This window comes from Homo sapiens, chromosome 10, assembly GCF_000001405.40.
Source record: "Homo sapiens chromosome 10, GRCh38.p14 Primary Assembly".
NCBI classification, from domain to species: domain Eukaryota; kingdom Metazoa; phylum Chordata; class Mammalia; order Primates; family Hominidae; genus Homo; species Homo sapiens.
Window position 1 is genome coordinate 38,031,818 of NC_000010.11, and position 21,851 is coordinate 38,053,668.

The 21,851-nt window shown below is 37.3% G+C and overlaps 1 protein-coding gene and 1 pseudogene across 21 annotated transcripts in view; one reads left to right on the forward strand and one right to left on the reverse strand.

Annotated features, from left to right (window-relative positions):
* The window catches only part of ZNF33A (zinc finger protein 33A), a 57,346-nt gene that overhangs the window by 21,329 nt on the left and 14,166 nt on the right, over positions 1–21,851 (forward strand). For 3 of the 21 annotated variants that reach the window (NM_001324177.2, NM_001278174.2, NM_001324175.2), the window contains exon 5: positions 2,509–2,583. The exons of 15 other annotated variants lie outside the window; for them this stretch is intronic. Coding sequence is in view for 1 of the 6 variants with exons in the window: in NM_001278176.2 (NP_001265105.1) it covers positions 7,596–7,675 (80 nt within the window). In the remaining 5 variants the exon portion in view is untranslated. Of the gene's footprint in view, positions 1–2,460; positions 2,584–7,595; positions 7,676–21,851 lie in introns of all 21 variants that reach the window. 3 more of the 21 variants (NM_001278171.2, NM_001278179.2, NM_001278176.2) reach the window with 2 other exon arrangements.
* On the reverse strand, positions 12,056–12,158 carry RNU6-795P (RNA, U6 small nuclear 795, pseudogene; annotated as a pseudogene).

A 21,851-nucleotide genomic window follows, 5' to 3' on the forward strand; every position in this document is an offset into this window, starting at 1 on the left:
CCAGGCGTGATGGTGCACTCCTGTAGTCCCAGCTACTCGGGAGGCTGAGGCAGGAGAATTGCTTGAACCCGGGAGGCGGAGGTTGCACTGAGCTGAGATGGCGCCACTGCACTCCAGCCTGGCAACACAGCAAGATTCCATCTTACAAAATAAAATAAAATAAAATAAAGGTAATGGACAAAAACATATTGTATACTATTTGTTGAAAAATCACAGCACACTTTCTATATGAGAGATGCTGGATCTCTTGTATCGCCAGTTTTACTGAATCTCATAGAGGATCTACTGTCCATTACACAGACAATAAAAAAAAATAAAACAAGGGTTGGGAAGTCAAATTGTCATTTTGTGTGCAGACAATTTGATTATCTGTACAAGCAAAAGTAAATGTTACACAGAAGTGATTCAAATTACTAAAAAAAGTTAGTTTAGTGAGGTGGTTGGCTGTAAGAACAATACATAATATCAGTTGTGTGTTATTTATACACCACGAAACAGGTATATAAGAAACAATTTTCTTGAGAATTATATGAGATATAATTCACATACTGTACTCTTCACCAATTTTACGTGTATAAATCAATCATTGTTAGTGTATTTGCAGGATTGTGCAACATTCCTGACAATTTTTTTTACTTTTTTTGAGATGGAGTCTTGCTCTGTTGCCCACGCTGGAGTGCAGTGGCAAGGTCTTGGCTCACTGCAACCTCTGCCTCCCGGGTTCAAGCCAGTTCTCCTGCCTCAGCCTCCTGAGTAGCTGGGATTACACAGCCTCCTGAATAGTTGGGATTACAGGTGCATGCCACCACACCCAGCTGTTTTTACATTTTCACCATGTTGGCCAGGCTGGTCTCAAACTCCTGACCTCAGGTTATCTGGCACCTCAGCCTCCCAAAGTGCTGAGATTACAGGTGTGAACCACCGCACCTTGCCGACAGTTGTTTTTTTGAGACAGAATCTTACTCTGTCGCTCAGGCTGGAGTACAGTGGCGCGATCTTGGCTCACTGCAACTTCACCTCCCAGGTTCAAGCGATTCTCCTGCCTCAGCCTCCCGAGTAGCTGGGATTGCAGGTGTGTACCACTATGCCCAGCTAATTTTTTGTATTTTTAGTAGAGATGGGGTTTCACCATGTTGGCCAGGCTGGTCTGAAGCTCCTGACCTCAAGTGATGTGCCTGCATAGGCCTCCCAAAGTGCTGGGATTATAGGCGTGAGGCACTGCGTCCGGCTGACAGTGTTTCTTAGAACGTTGTCATCATCCCTGAAACAAAGCAAATATCCGTTAGCAGTTACTTTCTCTTTCCCATTTCCTGTAGCCCTTGGCAACCAAAATTGAATTTTCTGCTGTGTGGAGTTGCCTAATCTGGATGTTTCATAAAAATGGAACTGTGTGTGACCTTTTCTGCCTGGCTTCTTTTTCTTAGCATAACATATTCAAGGTTCATCCATGTTGTAGCATGTATCAATATTTCACTTGTTTTTTATGGCCATATAACATGGTGTATAGATATACTACATTTTATGTATCCATTTGTCAGTGGATGGACGTTTGGTTTTAGTTCTACTTCTTGACTATTATGAATAATTCTGCTGTAATTGTTCACGTATAAGTTTTCACATGGACATGTATTTTCAGTCATTTCAGATATATACCTAGAAGTAGAATGCTGGTTATATGGTGACTCTGTGTTTAACTTTCTTGGGAACTGCCTGATTGTTGCTCATAGCAGCCACAATACTTTACAATCCTGCCAGCAATGCATGAATTTTCCAGTTTCTCTAGTTTGCAACATTTTTTATTAATATTAATATGTATTATACCAATCCAGTAGTTGTAAAGAGGTATCTCATTGTGGTTTTTTGCATTTCCCAATGGCTAGTGATGTTGAACATCTTTTTTTTTTTTTCTTTTTGAGATGGAGTCTCGCTCTGTTTGCCCAGGCTGGAGTGCGGTGGTGGGATCTTGGCTCACTGCAACCTCTGTCTCCTGGGTTCAAGCAGTTCTGTGCCTCAGCCTCCCGAGTAGCTGGGATTACAGGTGCCCACCACCATGCCAGGCTAATTTTTGTATTTTTGGTAGAGACGGGGTTTCATCATCTTGGCCAGGCTGGACTTGAACTCCTGATCTCATGATCCACCCACCTCGGCCTCCCAAAGTGCTGGGATTACAGGCGTGAGCTGCTGCTCCCGGCCTGATGTTGAACATCTTTTTATGCACTTGTTGGCTATTTATGTATCTCCTTTGTCAATTTAAAACATTCACTTTATTTCATGACTTATAGAAAAATTGGGGAGATAGTAGAGAGAATTGCCATTTACCCAGTTTCTGCTGTCGTTAACATATTAAGATGGTATGTTTGCAACAGCTGTTGAACCAACATTGGTACATGATTATTGACTAAAGTCCATATTTTTATTTAGCACCTGCTGATTTTTACCTAATGTCCTTCTTTGTTCCAGGATCCCTTCCAGGGCACCATATTACATTTAGTTGTCATGTCTCTTTAGGCTCCTCTTGGCTATGGTGGTTTCCCAGACTTTCCTTGTTTTGGATGACCTTGACAGTTGAGGAGTCCTGGTGAGGTATATATAAATTCCATTTATTGGGATGTGTCTGATGTTTTTCTCAAGATAAGACTGGGATTATAGGTTTTGGGGGAAAAAGCCCACAGTGGTAAAGTACCTTTTTTGTCACATTATATCAAGCATGCATACTGTCACCATGTTTTATGACTTTTGATGTTGGCCTGAAATGTCTTGGCAAACAGAGTTTGTCCACTATAAAGTTACATCTTTTTCCTATTTTCCATATTGTACACATTGGAACAATGTTACTCTGCACAACTCACACATAAGAAGTGGAGATATATGAATTTTGTTGCTGTTGTTTTTTAGAGCACTTTCTTTCTGTCACTACAAGATGGTCCAGGCTCATCTTGTATATTTTCTTTCTAAAATCAGCCATCATTTCTTCAGGTAATCCTGGTTCCTTTTATTTGAAAATGGTATTAGAAACCAAGATAGGGGCTAATGGTGTGCTTGCAGCAGTAGGGCGTGGCCATCTCAGCTGACAGAACAGGGAAATACACGTGTATAAACCATGTAATATACTTATAAATAGTTCTACATGTAACCATCTGTATCTCTCTTAAGCTAAACATGTGTTTATACTTATATTCTTCAACTCTTCACTACCACATGGATCATTCTAGCTTTCTTCCCTTGCTTCCCTGCAAATTACCATACCCAACAGTAAGAAATCTGGCTCTAACCATCCATCATCCATTTACTTTCTTTTTTTTTTTTTTTTTTTTTTTTGAGATGGAGTCTCCCTCTGTCACCCAGGTTGGAGGGCAGTGGTGTGATCTCAGCTCACGGCAACCTCCGCCTCCTGGGTTCAAGTATTTCTCCTGCTTCAGCTTCTCAAGTAGCCGGGACTACAGGTGCATACCACAATGCCCAGCCAATTTTTGTGTTTTTAGAAGAGATGGGGTTTTGCCATGTTGGACAGGCTGGTCTCGAACTCCTGATCTTAGGTGATCCACCTGCCCCGGCCTCCCAAAGTGCTGGGATTAAAGTTGTGAGCCACTGTGCCTGGCTTTCCATTTACTTTCATTATTCTTTCCCTGTATACATACATGTATGGCACTGTCAGAATTGTTAATTATGCCTATGTGGAAAATAATTTTATAATTTTATCAACTAAAATACAGTACTTACGTGCAGATTTTCCTTTAGTCTCACAGACTTCTCTTTCCAAAGTAATTAAGGTCAGGACTTCCTCCTGTATTGAAAGGGGTCCTTCATTGATACTATTTTTTACATTTGTAATGCAATTAGATGTTTTGGTGCAGGATGCCTTTATTCCTGGCTCCTCCTGAACTCATGACTTCGGTGCAATGGGTAATTCCTTGAAATACACAAACTACCAAGAGTTACACAGAAGAAATAAACCATTCAAATGGACCAATATCAGTTAAAGAAATTGAATCCATAAAGCTTTCATAAAAGAAAAGAAAAGAAGAAAGAAAGAAAATAAATTATCAGACTTTTTTGGTTTCATTGGTGATTTCTGTGCAACATTTAAGGAAGAAATATATAAGTTCTCTACAGTGTCTTTCAGAAAAGAGATGCAAAGGGAACCTTCTTAACACTTTTGTAAAAGGCTGTTTTTTCTCTAATCTTAAAAGCATATGAAGACCTTGCAAAGAAGAAAAACCACACACTAATATCCCTCATAAATATAGATGCAAAAATCCAAATAGAATGCAACATTGTATGAAAATAATTGGATGCTGTGACCACTCAAGGCTGGTCAGAGTTTGGAAATCAATTAATGTGGCCGGGTACGTTGGCTTATGCTTGTAATCCTAGCACTTTGGGATGCTGACGCAGATGGATTACCTGATGTCAGGAGTTTGAGACCAGCCTGGCCAACGTGGTAAAACCCTGTCTACTAAAAATACTAAATAAGCTGGGCGTGGTGGAATGCGCCTGTAATCCCAGCTCCTCTGAAGGCTGAGGCAGGAGAATCGCTTAGAACCTGGAACGCAGAGGTTGCAGTGAGCTGAGATTGCACCATTGCACTTCAGCCTGGGTGATAGAGCAAGATTCTGTCTCAAAAAAAAAATAAAAATAAAAAATCTGTAACCCGCCACATCAACAGCCTGCAGAAGAAAACCATATCATGTCAATTGATGGACAAGAAGCATTTGATAAAATCCAACACCCATTCATGATAAAACCGAGCAAACTAGGAATAGAGAGGAACTTCCTCAACTTGGTAAAAAAAAAATCTACAAGAAACCTACTGCTAAGAGCATACTTAGTGGTGAAACACTGGATACTTTCTCCCTAAGATAAGGAAACAAGATGTCCTGTCTCTTCACTCTTACTCAACATCTCATTGGAAATGGTAGGTAATGCCATAAGACAACAAAATAAGAGGCATACAGATGGGAAAGGAAGAAATAAAACTTTCTTCGTACAGGCATGATTGCCTAAGGAGAAAATTCTAGAGAACTCCCAAAACTATTAAGTCTTTGTAGCAAAGTTGGAGGATAGAAGCTTAATATAGAAAAATCAGTTCCTTTTTTCATTATGTAGTTGTGTTATTTGTCCTTTTATTGTTGAGATGTAAGAGTTTTTTCCATATTCTGTTTAGCAGTCCCTAATTACATACATTATTAGCCAATATTTTTCTCCCATTTGTGGGTTGTCATTTTATTGTCTTTGTTCTTGGTAGCAAAAGAGTTTTTCATTCCATGAAGTCTAATTTGTTTTTTCTTTTGTTGCTTGTATTTTTGGTACTTTATCTAAGAGGGCTTTATCTATCCCCAGGGCATGAAGATCCACTCCTGTATTTTCTTTAAGTAATGGCTTTTAAATGTAGACCTGTGATCCATTTTCAATTAGTTTTTGTATATGGTGTGAGGAAAGGAATAATTTTGATTGTTTTGCATACAAATATTCAGTTGTCTCAGCATCATTTCTTGAAAAGGTAATTTTTCTTTTTTCTTTTTTTTTTTGAGAGGAAGTCTCTGACGCCCAGCCTGGTGGGCAGTGGCACGATCTTGGCTCACTGCAACCTCTGCCCCCTGGGTTCACGCAAGTCTCCTGCCTCAGCCTCCTGAGTAGCTGGGATTACAGGCATGCGCCACCATGCTTGGCTAATGTCTTTGTATTTTTAGTAGAGATGGAGTTTCGTCATATTGGCCAGGCTGGTCTTGAACTCCTGACCTTGTGATCTGCCTGCCTCAGCCTCCCAAAGTGCTAGGATTACAGGTGTGAACTACTGTGCCCAGCCGAAAAGGTGATTTTTCAACATTAAATTGTGTTGGCATCATTGTTGAAAATTAACTGAACATAATATATAGTAGTGTTTATTTGTGAACTCTCAATTTTATTTCATATGTTTTCCTCTATGCCAGTATCATACCATCTTGATTATTGTAATTTTGTAGCAAATTTTCAAATTGAGAAGTGTATGTCTTCTAACTTTCTACTTCTTTTTTAAGATTGTTTTGATTATATTCAGTTCCCTAAATTTCCACATGAAATTTTAGACCAGCTTGTTAGTTTCTCCAAAAAGGCAGATGGGATTTTGGTAGGGATTGTGTTGAGTTTAGGTATTAATTTGGCAGTTATTGCCATCTTAACCATATGAACACTGTTCAGTGCCTTTCCATTTATTTAGGCTGTCTTTAATTTCTTCTATCATTGTTTTGTGGTTTTCAGACTATAAGCTCTGTATTTCCTTGATTAAAGTTATAAGTATTTTATTCTTTTTGATGCTATTGTATATGGAATTTATTTTATTTATTTACTTATTTGAGACAGAGTTTTGTTCTTACTGCCCAGGGTGGAGTGCAATGGTGCGATCTCGGCTCACTGCGTCTCAGCCTCCCAAGTAGCTGGGACTACAGGCACATGCCACCAAGCCTGGATAACTTTTTTGTATTTTTAGTATAGATGAGGTTTCACCATGTTGGCTGGGCTGGTCTCAACCTCCTGACGTCAGGTGATCCAGCCACCTCGGCATCCCAAAGTGCTGGGATTACAGGCTTGAGACATTATGCCCGGCCAGAATTATTTTTAAATTTTCATTTATGATTTGTTTGTTGTTAGTGAACTTGCACCCTGCAACATTGTTGAACTCTTTTATTAGTTTTAATAGTGTTTCAGCAGATTCTTTAAGATTTTCTATATGCATGAGTAGTCAACTGCAAATACAGATAGTTTCACTTTTGTTTTCAATCTAAATTCCCCTTCCCCTTGCTTTTCTTGACTAGAATCTCCTGTGTGATGTGTAACCAGCAAGAGGACATTCTTGTCTTCTTTTTGTTCTTAGAGTAAAATCACTGTACCTTTCATTATTTAGTATGATGTTAGTGGTGGACTTTTTGTAGATGCCTTTAATCAGGCTGAGGAAGTTTAACTCTATTCCTGGTTTGCTGATTGTTTTTATAGAGAAGATGGTCATTGGATTGTGTTAAATGCTTTTTCTCTGTATACTGAGATGATCATGTGGTTATTGTTTCTTTTCTCCTTACGTGGTGTATTAATTGATTTTCAAATGATAAACCAAATTTGAATTACTAGGATAAATCACACTTGATAATTGTATGTAACCCTTTTTATATACTACTGGATGAAATTTGCTAGTATTTTGTTGAGGATTTATATGTCTGTAATCATGACACATGGATCTGTATTTTTTTTCATGTCTGATTTTGGTACCAGAGTAGTAGTATTGGGATCATAGAATGAGCTGGCAAGTGTTTCTTCTTATTTTCTTGGAGTTTTTGAGTAATTGATAATTCTTTTTAAATGTTTGATAAAATTCTCCAGTGAACCCTTATGGACCTGGGTTTTTTTTTTGTTTTTGTAATGGGAAGTTTTCTTGTCTGTTTTTTGTCTTTTTTGAGACAGGGCCTCACTATATTGCCCAGGCTGGAGTGCAGTGGTGCAGTCATGGCTCACTGCAGCCTGACTTCCCAGGCTCAGGCAATTTTCCCACCTCAGCCTCCCAAGTAGCTGGGACTACAGGCATATGCCAGCACACCCAGCTAATTTTTTGTGTTTTTTTTTTGTAGAGATGGGGTTTCACCATGTTCCTGGGCTGGTCTTAAACTCCTGAGTTCAAGTGATCCACCTGCCTTGGCCTCCCAAAGTGGTAGGATTACAGGCATGAGCCACAGCATCCCACCTGTAATGGGGAGTTTTAAATTTACAACTTCAATCTTTTTACTTGTGTAGGTCTTTTCAGATTTTTCTTTTTCTACTTGAGTTGGTTTTAGTTGTTTTTGTTTTATGGATTTTCCCATTTTGTTGAAGTTAAATAATTTGTTGGCATACATTGTTCATACCATTCTTTGTAATTATTTTTATTTCTGTAAGAGTACTAGTAATACATCTTTAATCCCTACTTTTAGTAATTTGAACCTTCTCTCTCTTTTTTTTCTTTTTCAATGTCAGTCTAGCTAGAGGTTTGTATATTTTGTTGATCTTTTCCAGGAATCAGCTATTGTTTTTCTGTTCTCTAGTTCATTAATTTTTACTCTATAATCTTTCTGCTTTCCTGCCTTCTGCTTGATTTGGTTTTGTATTGCTGCTCCTGTCCAAGTGTTTTAAGGTGGAAAATTAGTTTACTGATTTGAGATCTTTTTAAATATGGTTATTACAGCTACAAATCTCTAAGGATTGCTTTATCTGTGTTCCATAAGTTTGAGTATGTCTTCATTTTTATCTCAAAGCATTTTTTCTAATTTTCCTTCTTATTGCTTCTTTAACTTTTTTTTTTAACTTCGGAATATGTTATATAATTTGTGCATGTTTGTGCATTCTAAAAATTCCTTTGTCTTACTGATTTGTAATTTCGACTGTGGTCAGAGAATCATTTTAAATTTATTCTGGGGAATGTTTCATGTGTACTTTTGAAGCATACCTGCTCCACTGTTCGAGTGGAATGTTCTGTCTATATCTCTTAGATCTGGTTGCTTTAGAGTGTCATCTATATCTTCTGTTTCCATGTTTATATTGTGCCCAGTTGTCCTAACCATTATTGAAAATGGGGTATTACAGTTTGCAATAAGTATTGTAGACTTGTATATTTTTTTCTTTTAATTCTGTCAGTTTTTGCTACACATACTTTGAGGCTCTGTTAGTAGTACATAGGCTTAGAATTGTTATGTCTCCTTTATTGATTGACCCTTTTATTGTTATATTAATAAAATTCCCCTCTTTATCCTTAGTAAAATTTTTGTATTAAAGTGTATTTTGTGTGATATTAGGATAGCTACTCCAGCCTTATAGGTGCCATGTGCCGGATATATCTTTTTCTGTCTTCAAATTTTCAACCTGTTTGTATCTATCTCTTATAGACAGCACATGTTTGGATTTTCACACTTTTGACAACCTGAGAATTGTTGCTTTTTGATTGGATTTTCAAATCATTCCCTTTTTCCTGTTGTTATTGCTATGCAGATGGTTCCTGACTTAAAATGGTTTGACTTATGATTTTTTAACTTTTCAATAGGTTTATTGGGTTGAAACCCCTTTGTATGTTTAGGATTTACAGAGGTTCAACTTAGTATTTTTTCTGTCCTTACTAGAATGTATTTCCATTTTAAGTGGAAAAACAATATTTTCAACTAATTTGACTATTATCAGGATGTAACTTGATCGTAAGTCAAGGAGCATCTGTAGTTGGTTTTACCTCTGCCATTTTTGTTTTCGGTCTCCTGCTTTTTTGGTACTCTATTCCTTTTACTTTTGCTTTCTTTTACATGACATGAATATATTTTATTTTATTATTTTTATAGGTTTCGAGGGTACAAGTGCAGTTTTGTTACCCAGACATAGCACATAGAGGTGAGGTCTGGGCTTTTAGTGTGGCCATCAGCAGAATAGCACCCATCAAGTAATTTCTTATCCTTCACCCTCCTCCCCACCCCTCCAAGTGTCCAGTGTCTCTCATTCCACTCTCTATGATTATGTGTATACAACATGAAATTAATATATTTTAGTATAACATTTTAATTTTTAAAATTATGATGTCTCTTTGAAAATTTATTTACCTAGTGGTTGCTCTAGAACTTACCTAATAAGTCTTGCCTTATCAAAATCTACTTCAGATTTCTGCTTCCTTAACTTTAGTAAAATACAGAAACATTACTTATATGTATCTCTATTTTCTCTTCTCTATTTGTTATTTTTATATATATTACATATATATTTAAAACCCAACAATACATTGTATGCAGGCTGAGCATCCCAAATCCGAAAATCTCAAATGCTCCCAAATCTGAAACTGAGTGCCAACATGCTCAACATGCTAGAAGGAAATGCTTGTTGGAGCATTTCAGATTTTAGATTTCTGGATTTGGGAAGCTCAACCAGTAAGTATAATGTAAACATTCCAAAATTTGGAAAAAATCTAAAGTGAGAAACACTTTTGATGCCAAGCATTTCAGATAAGGGATACTCAACCTGTAATTGTTACTTTATGTCATTTGATGGCTTTTTGTTGTTGTTGTTGTTGTTTTTTTACTTTAAGTTCTGTGATACATGTGCAGAATGTGGAGGTTTGTTACATAGGTATATGTGTTCCATGGTGGTTGACCCATCTTCTTAAGTTTCCTCCCCTTGCCCCCACACCTCAACAGGCCCCAGTGTGTGTTGTTCCCCTCCCTGTGTTCATGTGTTGATGTCTTTTAAAGAAGCTGAAAGAAAGATAGGAAGTATCTATTCGTAGAGTTTGTTATACTAACCTTCTTATTCATCATTTCTGCTTCAATTCATTTGTTTGTGTGGATTCAGAGTTACCATCTAGTGTAATTTCCTTACTCTGGCACAGATTTGTTCCTCTGTCTTTTTTTTTTTTCCCCTGGGAGTCTCACTTTGTTGCCCAGGCTGGAGTGCAGTGGCACCATCTGGGCTCACTGTAACCTCCTGCCTCCTGGGTTCAAGCGATTCTCCTGTCTCAGCCTCCCGAGTAGCTGGGATTACAGGCATGTGCCACCACAGCTAATTTTTGTGTTTTTAGTAGAGATGGGGTTTTGCCATGTTAACCAGGCTGGTCTTGAACTCCTGACCACAGGTGATCTGCCTGCCTTGGCCTCCCAAAGTGCTGGGATTACAGGCGTGAGCCACCACACCCAGCCACTCTATTTTTTTGCTTTATTCTTTTTTTTTTTTTTGCTTTGTTATTTGTTTCCTTGTTTATCAATGTATTTATTTATTTTTTTTTTGAAACAAGGTCTCTCTGAGTCATCGAGGCTGGAGTGCCGTGGTAGGATCCCATCTCATTGCAGCCTCAACTTCCTGGGCTCAAACAATACTCCCACCTCAGCCTCCTGAATAGCTGAGACTATAGGTGTGCACCACTGTGCCCAGCTTATTAAACAAATTATTTTTTAGAGATGGTGTCTCAATATGTTGCCTAAGCTGATCTTGAAATCCTGGGCTTAAGTGATTCTCCTGCTTCAGCCTCCCAAAGTGTTGGGATTACTGGCATGAGCCACTGTGCCTGGCCTGTCTTATTGTTAAATACATTGCATTTTTATATGTTATAGGTCCAACAATACAGTTATAAACATTGACTTATACATATTTGCTTATTAAATTGGGTAGGAAAAGAAAGGAGAAAAAATGTGCCTTTTTTACTCTCTCGTATCATTGCCTTTACCCACAATAATTGTGGATTTGAACTAGTGTTTGAAATCACTTGTTTTCACCCTAAAGAACTTCTTTTCTTTCTTTTATGGTTAGTGTACTTGCAATGGATTCTCAAGTTTTTTTGGTTTCTATTTGTTTTTTAATTTGAGGATTTTAAATTTTCACCCTCTGTTTTGCAAATAGTTCTGCTATTTTAGGTGACAGGTTATTAAAAAAGCTGGAAACCATCATTCTCAGCAAACTGTCACAATACAAAAAACCAAACACAGCATGTTCTCACTCACAGGTGGGAACTGAACAATAAGAACACATGGACACAGGAAGGGAAACATCACACACCAGGGACTGTTGTGGGGTAGGGGGAGGGGGGAGGGATAGCATTAGGAGATATACCTAATGCTAAATGACGAGTTAATGGGTGCAGCACACCAACATGGCACATGTATACATATATAACAAACCTGCACGTTGTGCACATGTACCCTAAAACTTAAAGTATAATAATAATAAAATTAAAAAAAAAATAGCTGTGTGACCCCAGGTCAAATTCTGTAAGTCTTAGCTTCTTTATTTGACAACTGGGAACACAATATTTTCCCCACCTCCCCCCAACAACTCCACCAGTATTGTGGTGAAGATCAAAGAAATAATTTCCTGTATGAATAAAAGGTATTTCATTGCAAAAAAAAAAATTTTTTTTTCAGTCACTGAATATGTCATCCTGCCTCCTTCTGGCCTCTACGTAGTCTCTGATGAGAAGCCATATGTTAATCTTAGGACATTCCCTTCATGTGAGAAGTTGTATTTCTCTTGATGCTTTCAAGATTTTCTCTTCGTCAACAGATGTGCAAGTTTTTGGCCTCTTTTTTTTTTTTTTTGTTTAATGCAACACTTCATGAACTTGTGTGTCATTCTTGTGTAGCTGCTGTGCTAATCTTGGTATTGTTCCAGTTTTAGTATATGTGTTGCAAGGTGAGCATAGCCATTCATTTGTTTGAATATTTTTTCTGCTACTTGATATTTCTCCACTCCTTCTGGTACTTCTGTTATGAATATATTGGTGTAGTTAATGGTGTTCCTCATTTTTTTGAGCATTTCTTCATTTTTCATCACTCTTATTTCTCTCTGTTCTTTAGATTACTTAATCTCTATTGATCCATCTTTAAGTTTACTGATTATTTTGCCAGCTACAACCTTTCTTTTCTTTTCTTTCTTTTTTTTTTTTTTTTGAGATGGAGTTTCTCTCTTGTTGCCCAGGCTGGAGTGCAATGGCACTATCTCAGCTCACTGCAACCTCTGCCTCCCGGGTTCATGCAATTCTCTTGCCTCAGCCTCCAGAGTAGCTGGGATTACAGGTGCGTGTGCTACCACACTCAGCTAATTTTTCTGTTTTTAGTAGAGACGGGGTTTCACCACATTGGTCAGTCTGGTCTTGAACTCCTGACCGCAGGTGATTCACCTGCCTTGGCCTCCCAAAGTGCTGGGATTTCAGGCATGAGCCACCCTGCCTGGCCCAATCTTTTGTTGAGTCATTCTAGTGAGTTTTCCATTGCAGTTATAATTTTTGAATCCAGAATTTTCATTGTATTCTTTTCTGTCTTCTTATTGATATTTTCTGTTTGATGAGGCATCATCATACTCCCTTTTCTAAGTAGTGTTTCCTTATGAACATATTTATTTTTATTTTTTATTTTGACAGTCTCGCTCTGTCACCCAGGCTGGAGTTCAGAGGCATGATCTCAGCTCACTGCAACCTCCGCCTCCCAGGTTCAAGTCATTCTCTTGCTTCAGCCTCCAGAGTAGCTGGGATTACAAGTGCCTGCCACCATGCCCAGCTAATTTTTGTGTTTTTAGTAGAGACGGGGTTTCACCATGTTGACCAGGTTGATCTTGAACTCCTGACCTCAGGTGACCCACCTGCCTCGACCTCCCAAAGTACTGGGATTACAGGCGTGAGCCACCGTGTCTGGCCCGAACATATTTATAATAGCTGCTTTGAGGTCAGCTAAGTCTGATAGCTGGGTCTTCTCAAGGGCAGTTGCTGTTGCCTGTCGTTTTTCCTGTATGTAGGTGACAGTGTCCTGTTTCTTTGTATGTCTTGTAATTTTTTTGTTGAAGTATAGACATTTTAGAGAATACTTTGTGCTTCCTCTAGATACTGGTTCCTCTATTCTCTCTAGGGCTTGTTGTTATTTATTTAGGTGACTTGACTGTACTATTTGAGAGAAGCTTTTTCACTCCCATTGGGTTCTCACTGATGTTGCTTATCAGAGGGCTCCTCCTTGGAAATGCACACTATCTTTGGGATGGCAGTGGTGTTAACAGTGCTCTCTGAGTGTCTCTTTCTGTGATTGCTGTGTTAGCCTGTCTGCCTCTGTTGCTGTTATACTTTGCTGATAGCCGCTACTGATTGCTGACGTATTGCTCTATTGTTTTCAACACTGTCCTGGACCATATGTTGCTCTTAGTTTGCTCTTGTTAAATTTGGGTTCCTTCTAGAGGGTTGTCTTTGAGGCTTTGAGTTTGCTTTTTATGTTGCCATTCTGAAAGTCACCTCCTAGAAAACATAAATTTAAAAATCATTACTGTAGAAAATCTGTGTATGTGTTTGTATGAGTGTTTCTGGTAGATAGGAACACATCTAATTGCCCTGGATGTCTCTTCTTAGCCATCTCTTTCCCTTGCTCTCTCCAGTAAACTTTCAGTTGGTCTGTGGTTTAGCTTGTTGCTGTCATAGAACTGCCACCCTCTTCTTAATTGGTTATCATTGAATTTCCATTCTTTTTGAGGGTGACCTTAGGCTTGCACTCACCCACACTCTGCTCTGAACAAAGTGAGTTTTCTGGAGGAGAGTTTGGGAACTCTCTGTCCTTACAGCTGGCCCTAGGTGAGAGTCCTGCTCCATTATTCAGGATCTAGAGGCTACAGCAGTGTTTTGCTTTTCTCTGGGTGAGTGATACTGTGCTTTATGATCAGGGATCTGGGTTGGGGCAGTAGTCTCTGGTCTTCTTGGTTTCTTTTGGAATCTCTTCTCAATGACCTAGGTGGGCATTGTACTCCGCTATTCTCAGACTGCCATGACTGGGCTGGATATTTTAATTGGGGTGGTGGAGGAAGCTGGCTCAAGGCCTTTTGGCAGTTCTTTTCTAGAATTTGAAGCTGTAGGGGTTGAGGAGCACTGGTGGCTTGCAGGAGATAGATGCACACAGAGAGAGGTCTGGAGATCTGTAAAGGGGCCTCCATGAATGTTCAGCAAAGTACTAATCGGCTCATGTATATGAGGAAATGAGTGAAATAACTTTTGAAAAGAATCAAAGGGAACAGTACACAATACTCACATAGGGCCTGGAAAAGGACTGATCCTGCCAGCCAGAGTGGAAAAACTCGTAATTCAGAGTATTGGGTAGAGTGTTCAGAAAGGTCTTTTCTCCGTGGTGAGGAGTAATGTGCCCCAAACTGAGCACTGCTCCAGATTTGCCTAAGAAATCATAAAAGCAAGACCTGAAAGTGTCACATTGTTTCCAAGTGACTTAAGTGCATCCTAGAAAAAAGCACAAAAATACTTATAGGAAGCCAAAAGGACCCAACATCCAACCAAGTAAAACTCTCAGTCTTCTGTCCATTGAAATATTACCAGACTTACAGACATGTGGGAAAACATGAGCTTTCTCAAAGAGACTAACCAGGAAATTGAAATGGACTCAGAATTGCCATAGATATTAGAATTAACTGACAAGTTCATTGAAAATAGTATTATAATTGGATTCCATATGTTCTAAAACTTAAGTAGAGACACGGAAGATTTAAAAAAAAAATCAAAATTCAGTATAACAGAAAAGATAGAAATCAGATTTCTAGAAATGAATACTATAATGCTTGACATGAGAAATACATGGCCAGCCATTGTTGTCTCATGCCTATAAATCCCAGCACTTTGGCAGGCCAAGGGAAGGATCTCCTGAGCTCAGGAGTTTGAGACCAGCCTGGGCAACATGGTGAAACCTTGTCTGTACCAAAAATGCAACAGCAAAAAAATTAGCTGGGTGTGGTGGTGCATGCCTGTGGTCCTAGCTACTTGGGAGGCTGAGGTGGGAAGATCACTTGAGCCTGAGAGGTGATGTTTCAGTGAGCCAAGATTGCACCTCTGCACTGCAGCCTGGGTGATGGAGTGAGACCGTCTCCCCCCACCCCTGCCAAAAAAAAAAAAAAAAAAAAAAAGAATAACACATAGGGCAACAACTAATGGCAGTTTAAACATTGCAGAAGAAAAAGATTACTGAACTTAGCATAGTAATAGAAGCCATCCAAATGAAACAGAGAAAAAACATATGTGAAAAATAAGCAAGCCCTTGGGCTGGGTGTGGTGGCTCACCCCTGTAATCCCAGCACTTTGGGAGGCCAAGGCCTGTGGATCACGAGGTCAAGAGATCGAGACTATGTTGGCCAACATGGTGAAACCCCATCTCTACTAAAAGTACAAAATTAGCTGTGCGTGGTGGCAGGCGCCTGTAGTCCCAGCTACTCGGGAGGCTGAGGCAGGAGAATCATTGAACATGGGAGGCGGAGGTTGCAGTGAGCCGAGATTGCACCACTGCACTCCAGCCTGGCGATAGAGCAAGACTCTGTCTCAAAAAAAAAAAAAAAAAAAAAAAAAAAAAAAAAAAAAAAAGCAAGCCCCTGTGAGCTTTAAGAGAACTTCAAGTAGTCTCTAACACACATGGAATTGGAGTCTGTAAAAGGAAAGTGGGAAAAGAACAGAAAACAATATTTTGAGATGATGAAAAAATGTCCAAATGTGATGGGAACTTACTGATCTAAGAAGCTCATCAAACCCTGAGCACAAGAGGCATGAAGAAAACTACACTAAGCCACATGAGTCATAACCAGAATGCTCTAAATCAGTGTTAAAATGAAATCCTCAAAGCAGTCAGAGACAAAGGACATGTTTTATGGAGGAACAAAGGAAAGGTTGATAGCAGATTTCTCCTTAAATGAGGCAACAGAGAAAAGAGTAGAACATTATTTTTAGTTTTAAAAGCAAAAAAACTCAACGTAGAGTTATATACTCAGTAAAAATAGCTATAAGAAACAGTGAAGAAGTAAGGACATTCCAGTTAAACAAAGCTGAAAGATTTCCTCTCCAGCAGACCTGCACCACAAGAGGTGTTCTGATGTCTGATGGAAATCTGGATCTACCTAGGGGGATGAAGGACAGGAAATATTGACTACTTGGATATGTATACAAGATATTTTTCTTCATGTAAATCTCTAAAAAGTATATTGTCTTTATACAAAAATAACATCAAATGTATTGTGGGTTTTATAACATTTAAAATATATGACAAACATAGCCTAAAAAGGCTGTGAAAAAGAAGTAAAGTATATACTATTGGAAGATCCATATATGTACTATTTCTGAAAAGTACACTGCAAAAGCTTTTATAAACATTGATGATCACAGAAAATATAAATGGTCTAAAACACCCCATTTAAAGACAGAGATTTCTTGATAAGATAAATAAAAATAAGATCCAGTCATGCTGCCTACAAAGGAAACATGTTAGATTCAAAGACAGATAAACAAAAAGAATGGGAAAAGATATAGAATGGTAAAATTATTCACAAGGCTGCAGTGATGTGACAGCCAGATGAAATAGCTTTCAGAGCCAGGAATACCAGTGATAAAGATTTTTTTCATATCGATAGAGATCCATTCATCGAGAGGATTTAACAATCCTAAGCTTTAGGTTAGTAATGGATTTACAAAATATTTGAAGCAAAATCTGATAGACTTGGAAGGAGAAATAGATCCACAGTTATAATCAGAGGTTTTAGCATCCTTTTAATAATTGATAAAACAGGAAAAGGAAAAGGAGCAAAGATATAATAGACTTAACCCTAAATAACTTAATTGACATTTATAAAATATCTTCTGCACCCTCCTCCCCAAATAAAACAGTGGAATATACATTCTTTTCAAGGGCAGATGAATGAATATATTAACAAAGGTAAATCACATTCTTGATTATAAAGCAAATCTTAATAAATGTAAAAGGATTGAAGTCATATAGAGTATTTTCTCCCACCATAAGGGGTTTAAATTTAGTTAAATTAAAAATCAATAACAGAACTATCTATAAAATCCCTAATAGTTGGAAACTGAATATACTTCTACATAATGGATTCTTCAAAGAAGAGTTCAAAGGGGAAATTAGAAAGTATTTTGAACTTTGGGTTAATGAAAACAGAATTTATGGGAAATTTACATATAGGAAATTTAGGTATAGCAAATATAAAATACCTATAATACTCATTGATTTCATTGTTTTCCATTTTGATCCTTACTCCTTTTTTCTACTTACTTTTGGGTCTAATTTGCTTTTTTCTAGCTTTTTAAGGTGGAAGCACCTGAGGTCATTGATTTGAGATCTTTCTTAGGCAACACAAATATGCATTGTGTGTGTTTGTATTATGTGCGTATATATCTACCATATGTAAATGCATATATGAAGTTTCTCCTATATGGGATATAATGTATTATGTGTAATGTATATTGTGTAAATTTCACATATAGGGAATTTCATATGTGTATGTATTTATGTATATGTATATATCTAATATACACATGTATGAAGTTTAACTTGTGTTGGATAAGAAGAAAGGTCTAAATCAATGGTCTTAGCTACTTCCACTTTGAGAATGTAGAAAAGAAGACAAATCCATATAGTAGAAGAAGAAAGGAAATAACAAAAAACAAAATGGAGAACAATATAATATGTAGAACCAGAAAAACAGTTTAGAAAATCAGTGAAACCAAAAGCTGTTTCATTGAGAAGATCGATAAAATGGATAAACTTCTAGGTGGAACAGATTATCAATATCAAAAATAAGAATGATGAATCACTGAAGATTCTGTGAGGAAGTGAGGAAATACTATACCTGTAAGTTATCAATTTGACGATTTTGATGAAATGAACAGTTTCCTTCAAATAAACAGCTACTACTGCTTACTTCAAAACAAATAGATAACCTTTCCACAAAGAAAACCCCAGGTCCCCAGATGCTTCAGTAGTGAATTCCAGCAAACAATTAATAGTACCACTTCTATACAGACTTTTCCAGAAAATTCAAGAAGAGGGAATACTTCCTAAATCATTCTTTGAGTCCAGCATTGCCCTAATAACAAAACGAGACAAAGACACTGCAAGGAAAGAAAGCTATAGACCGGTGTCCTTCATGAACATAAATTCAAAAACTCTAGGGATTGGAAACCAGTGGTGTATAACATGGTTATTAATACCTCATGACCAAATGTGGTTAATCCCTGGCAGGCTTTTTCAACATTTGAAAAGCAGTCAGTGTAATTCCCTGTGTCTAGGCCAACTTCATAGCTAGGTGACCTGTGCAGTCACATGTTGCTGCACTCTTGTAAGAAGGGATCCTGTACTTGGCTTAATGCCCTGTTGTTGCCATCTTGAAGTTCTTCACAGTTTTATCTTTGAACTTGTGATTTGTATGTAAAGTCTGATGGACACTGGACTATGTGTGCAAGTAGACAGGATACTTGAGAGGCACTGCCCTACTAAGCTGTTGGTCTGTGTAGTATGGCCTGGGAGTGTCCTGGAATTGTGTGTGGGTAGCCAGGGCCATGACCTTTGTCTGCATTGGTTGCAGCAGCAGCAAACTCACAAACAGTTGCACCCCAGAGAGGACCCACAGTGTGAGGCTGGCTTGCTTGTCTCTCCCCTGAGCCTGTCCCTCTGACATTCTTAGGAAATACTAATTTTCTGGGCTGAATACTGGGGCAGTAACTTCCAGCTTTCAGGCAGTCACCATTGTCAGTAAAGTATTAGAAAATAAAAGCATACTTGTGGACATTGTGTTAAGGCACACTAGGCAGTTCCTAGAATTCTTTGGAGTGTAGATTCTCTGGTCTTAAGAACTGCTGCAACATTGCAAAGCAAATATCCACAGGCTTAGAAATAGGAATTTCATTTGATGGGAGAGAACATGATTTTCATATAAAATTTTGGATGAATCAAGTATTAACAAAGAAGTCAATTTTAAAAATAGTTTTTTTTTTACATTTGAAAATACAGCAATACACTGCATAAACAGGTGTTTCCAGTTATATATGCAAATCATGAAGCCATTTTTGGTTTCTTGTACAAGATGTAGGAAATGTCAGAGGAAACATTAAAATGCCATTGTATAAATTTACATGTAAAATTGAATTCTGCTTTGTACAAAACTAATATTCACGAAGAATTAATTTCAGAGTACTGCTACTCCAGTCTTTATATATACCGAAACTTGTATTTTTTTAACTTTTATTGTGCAACAATGTATCAGAAATCAGAAATTTAACCCATATTGTCACAACGTATAAAGAACCAACAGGTTCCTAATGATCGCATCAGCTGAAAAATCAACCTTCTCAAAATTAAAAATGAGCAAAAATTACTTACCATGCATTTGCCAAGAATACATGTTACTTTCAATTATATATTGAAAATAAAGTTGCTAAAAATATAAATTTTGATGACTTAAATGAATTTGCAAAAAGAGGGCCAGAAAATCTTATGATCAATCAAGATATCATATTAAAAACTATTAGTAATTATTGTATCATTTAAAGTTATTGCAACAAAACTTTTTTTGTGATTTGTAAATTTGTTATTATATATTACGATTATACCTATTACATTTTACAAGTAATAAAATATATTAAAAGAAAAAAGCATAATTTATTTTACCTTTTACTATACTTCTTTTTATACATTCTGAGTAACTGCCTCACATTTTTATTTTGCACTGGCCCCATCAATTATGTAGTCATCTCTGCCCTGTATTAAAAAGAAAAAAACAGAAAAAAAGTCAAATCCATATGACCATTTCAATATATGCAGACAAGGCATTTGACAAAATTTAGCATCCATTTCTGATTAAAACTCTCAAATGAAGAATAGAAGATAACTTTCTTTAATCTGATAAAAGTCATCTATAGAAAATGTACAATTGACATTGTATATAATTGTGAACAACGGAATGATTTCTTTCCAATATCAGGAACATGACAAGGATGTCCACCCATACTTGATAGTGTAATATATACTACTTAGTATAACCAGGGAAGAAAAAGAAAGGAGATTAGAATAGAAAAGAAGTAGAAATGTCTTTATTCACAAAAGATAATATTATCTATGTAGGAAATCTAATGGAGTCACCCAAGAAAAAGAATGGGAAAAATAATGACTATAATTATTAAGTGTAGCTAGGTGGCAGGAGAAAAATATGTAAAAATGAATTTTACTTCTATATATTAGCAATGATCAATTGGAACTTGAAATTTTTAAAAGTTCCATTTGCAATAGTATCAAAAATATTTTTTTTGCAGCTATGTCTGGCAAAAGATGTGAAAGACCACACTAGAAACAATAACCCACTGCAGAGAGAAATTGAAGACCTAAACAAGTGGAACTCCCTGCTTATGTCAGAAAGCTCAATATTGCTAACATGTTTTGTTGTTAACATGACTTATAGATTCAAAATAATATAATTCCATGTAGTAATTAGCAGGATTTCTTGTAGTAATTGAGTACGTAATTCTAAACTTTATGTGGAAGTAGACAGGAAACTTGTCTACTTTAGTTACTCTACTTCTAGAGTAACTAAAACTTTGAAAAATAAAAGCTGAGTTGTATGGATAGGATTACCTGATTTCAAGACTCAAAGTAAAAGTTTGCTGAGACTTGGTCTTTTTGTCCAGAGTACTTTTTCTTCAATTTTCACATCTAGTAGTTTTATTAAGCTATGTTTTGGAGAAAACTGTTGCTGAACATTTTTCCCAGGTTCATGATGGTTCCTTTGAATATGTGGATCAGGTCTTTTATTTTTGGACAGTTTTCTTAGATTATACTTTTTAATATTAGATTTATTCTGTTGTTTTTTCTTCTTTAAGGACTGCAATAACATATATACTATATTATAATTTTATTTATTTATTTAATTGTAGACCATCTTTATCCAGAACTTTCTTTCTGATCCAATTTTCTTTTTTCTTACTCTTTTAAAATTATTGCTTCTTCTTTTTCTTGTTTCATTCTCCTTTGCAATGCTGTTTATTCAAGTTTCAGTCAAGTGTAGTTTCCCCTTTGGCTCTGTATTAGTTGACTCAGGCTGCTGTAACAAAATTCAACAGACTGGGTAGCTTAAATAAATTTTCTCACAATTGTGGAGGCTGGAAGTCTAAAGTCAAGGTGCCAGCAGGGTTGGTTTCTGGTTAGGTCTCACTCCTTGGCTTGCAGATGGCATTTTCTTCTGGTGTCCTCACACAGCCTTTTCTCTGTGCATATGACCAGTGGTTGGGGGTGGTGGGTTGGGGGAGAAAGAGAGCTCATGCATGTGCTTTCCAGTATCCTCTTCTTCTTATAAGGACACCAATGCCATTGTATTTGTGTCTTACCCTTATGACCTCATTTAACCTTAGTTAATCTCCTTAAAGTCCCCATCTTCAAATACAGTCACACTGGAGGTTGGGGTTTTAACATACACATTTTTGGGGGGCACAGTTTAGTCCATAACAGATTCCTTAATAAGGAATGTCTTTAATAAGTCTTAATAAGACTTGAATTACAAGTCTTATTTTCTGTGATTACTCTGCCCTCTTTACA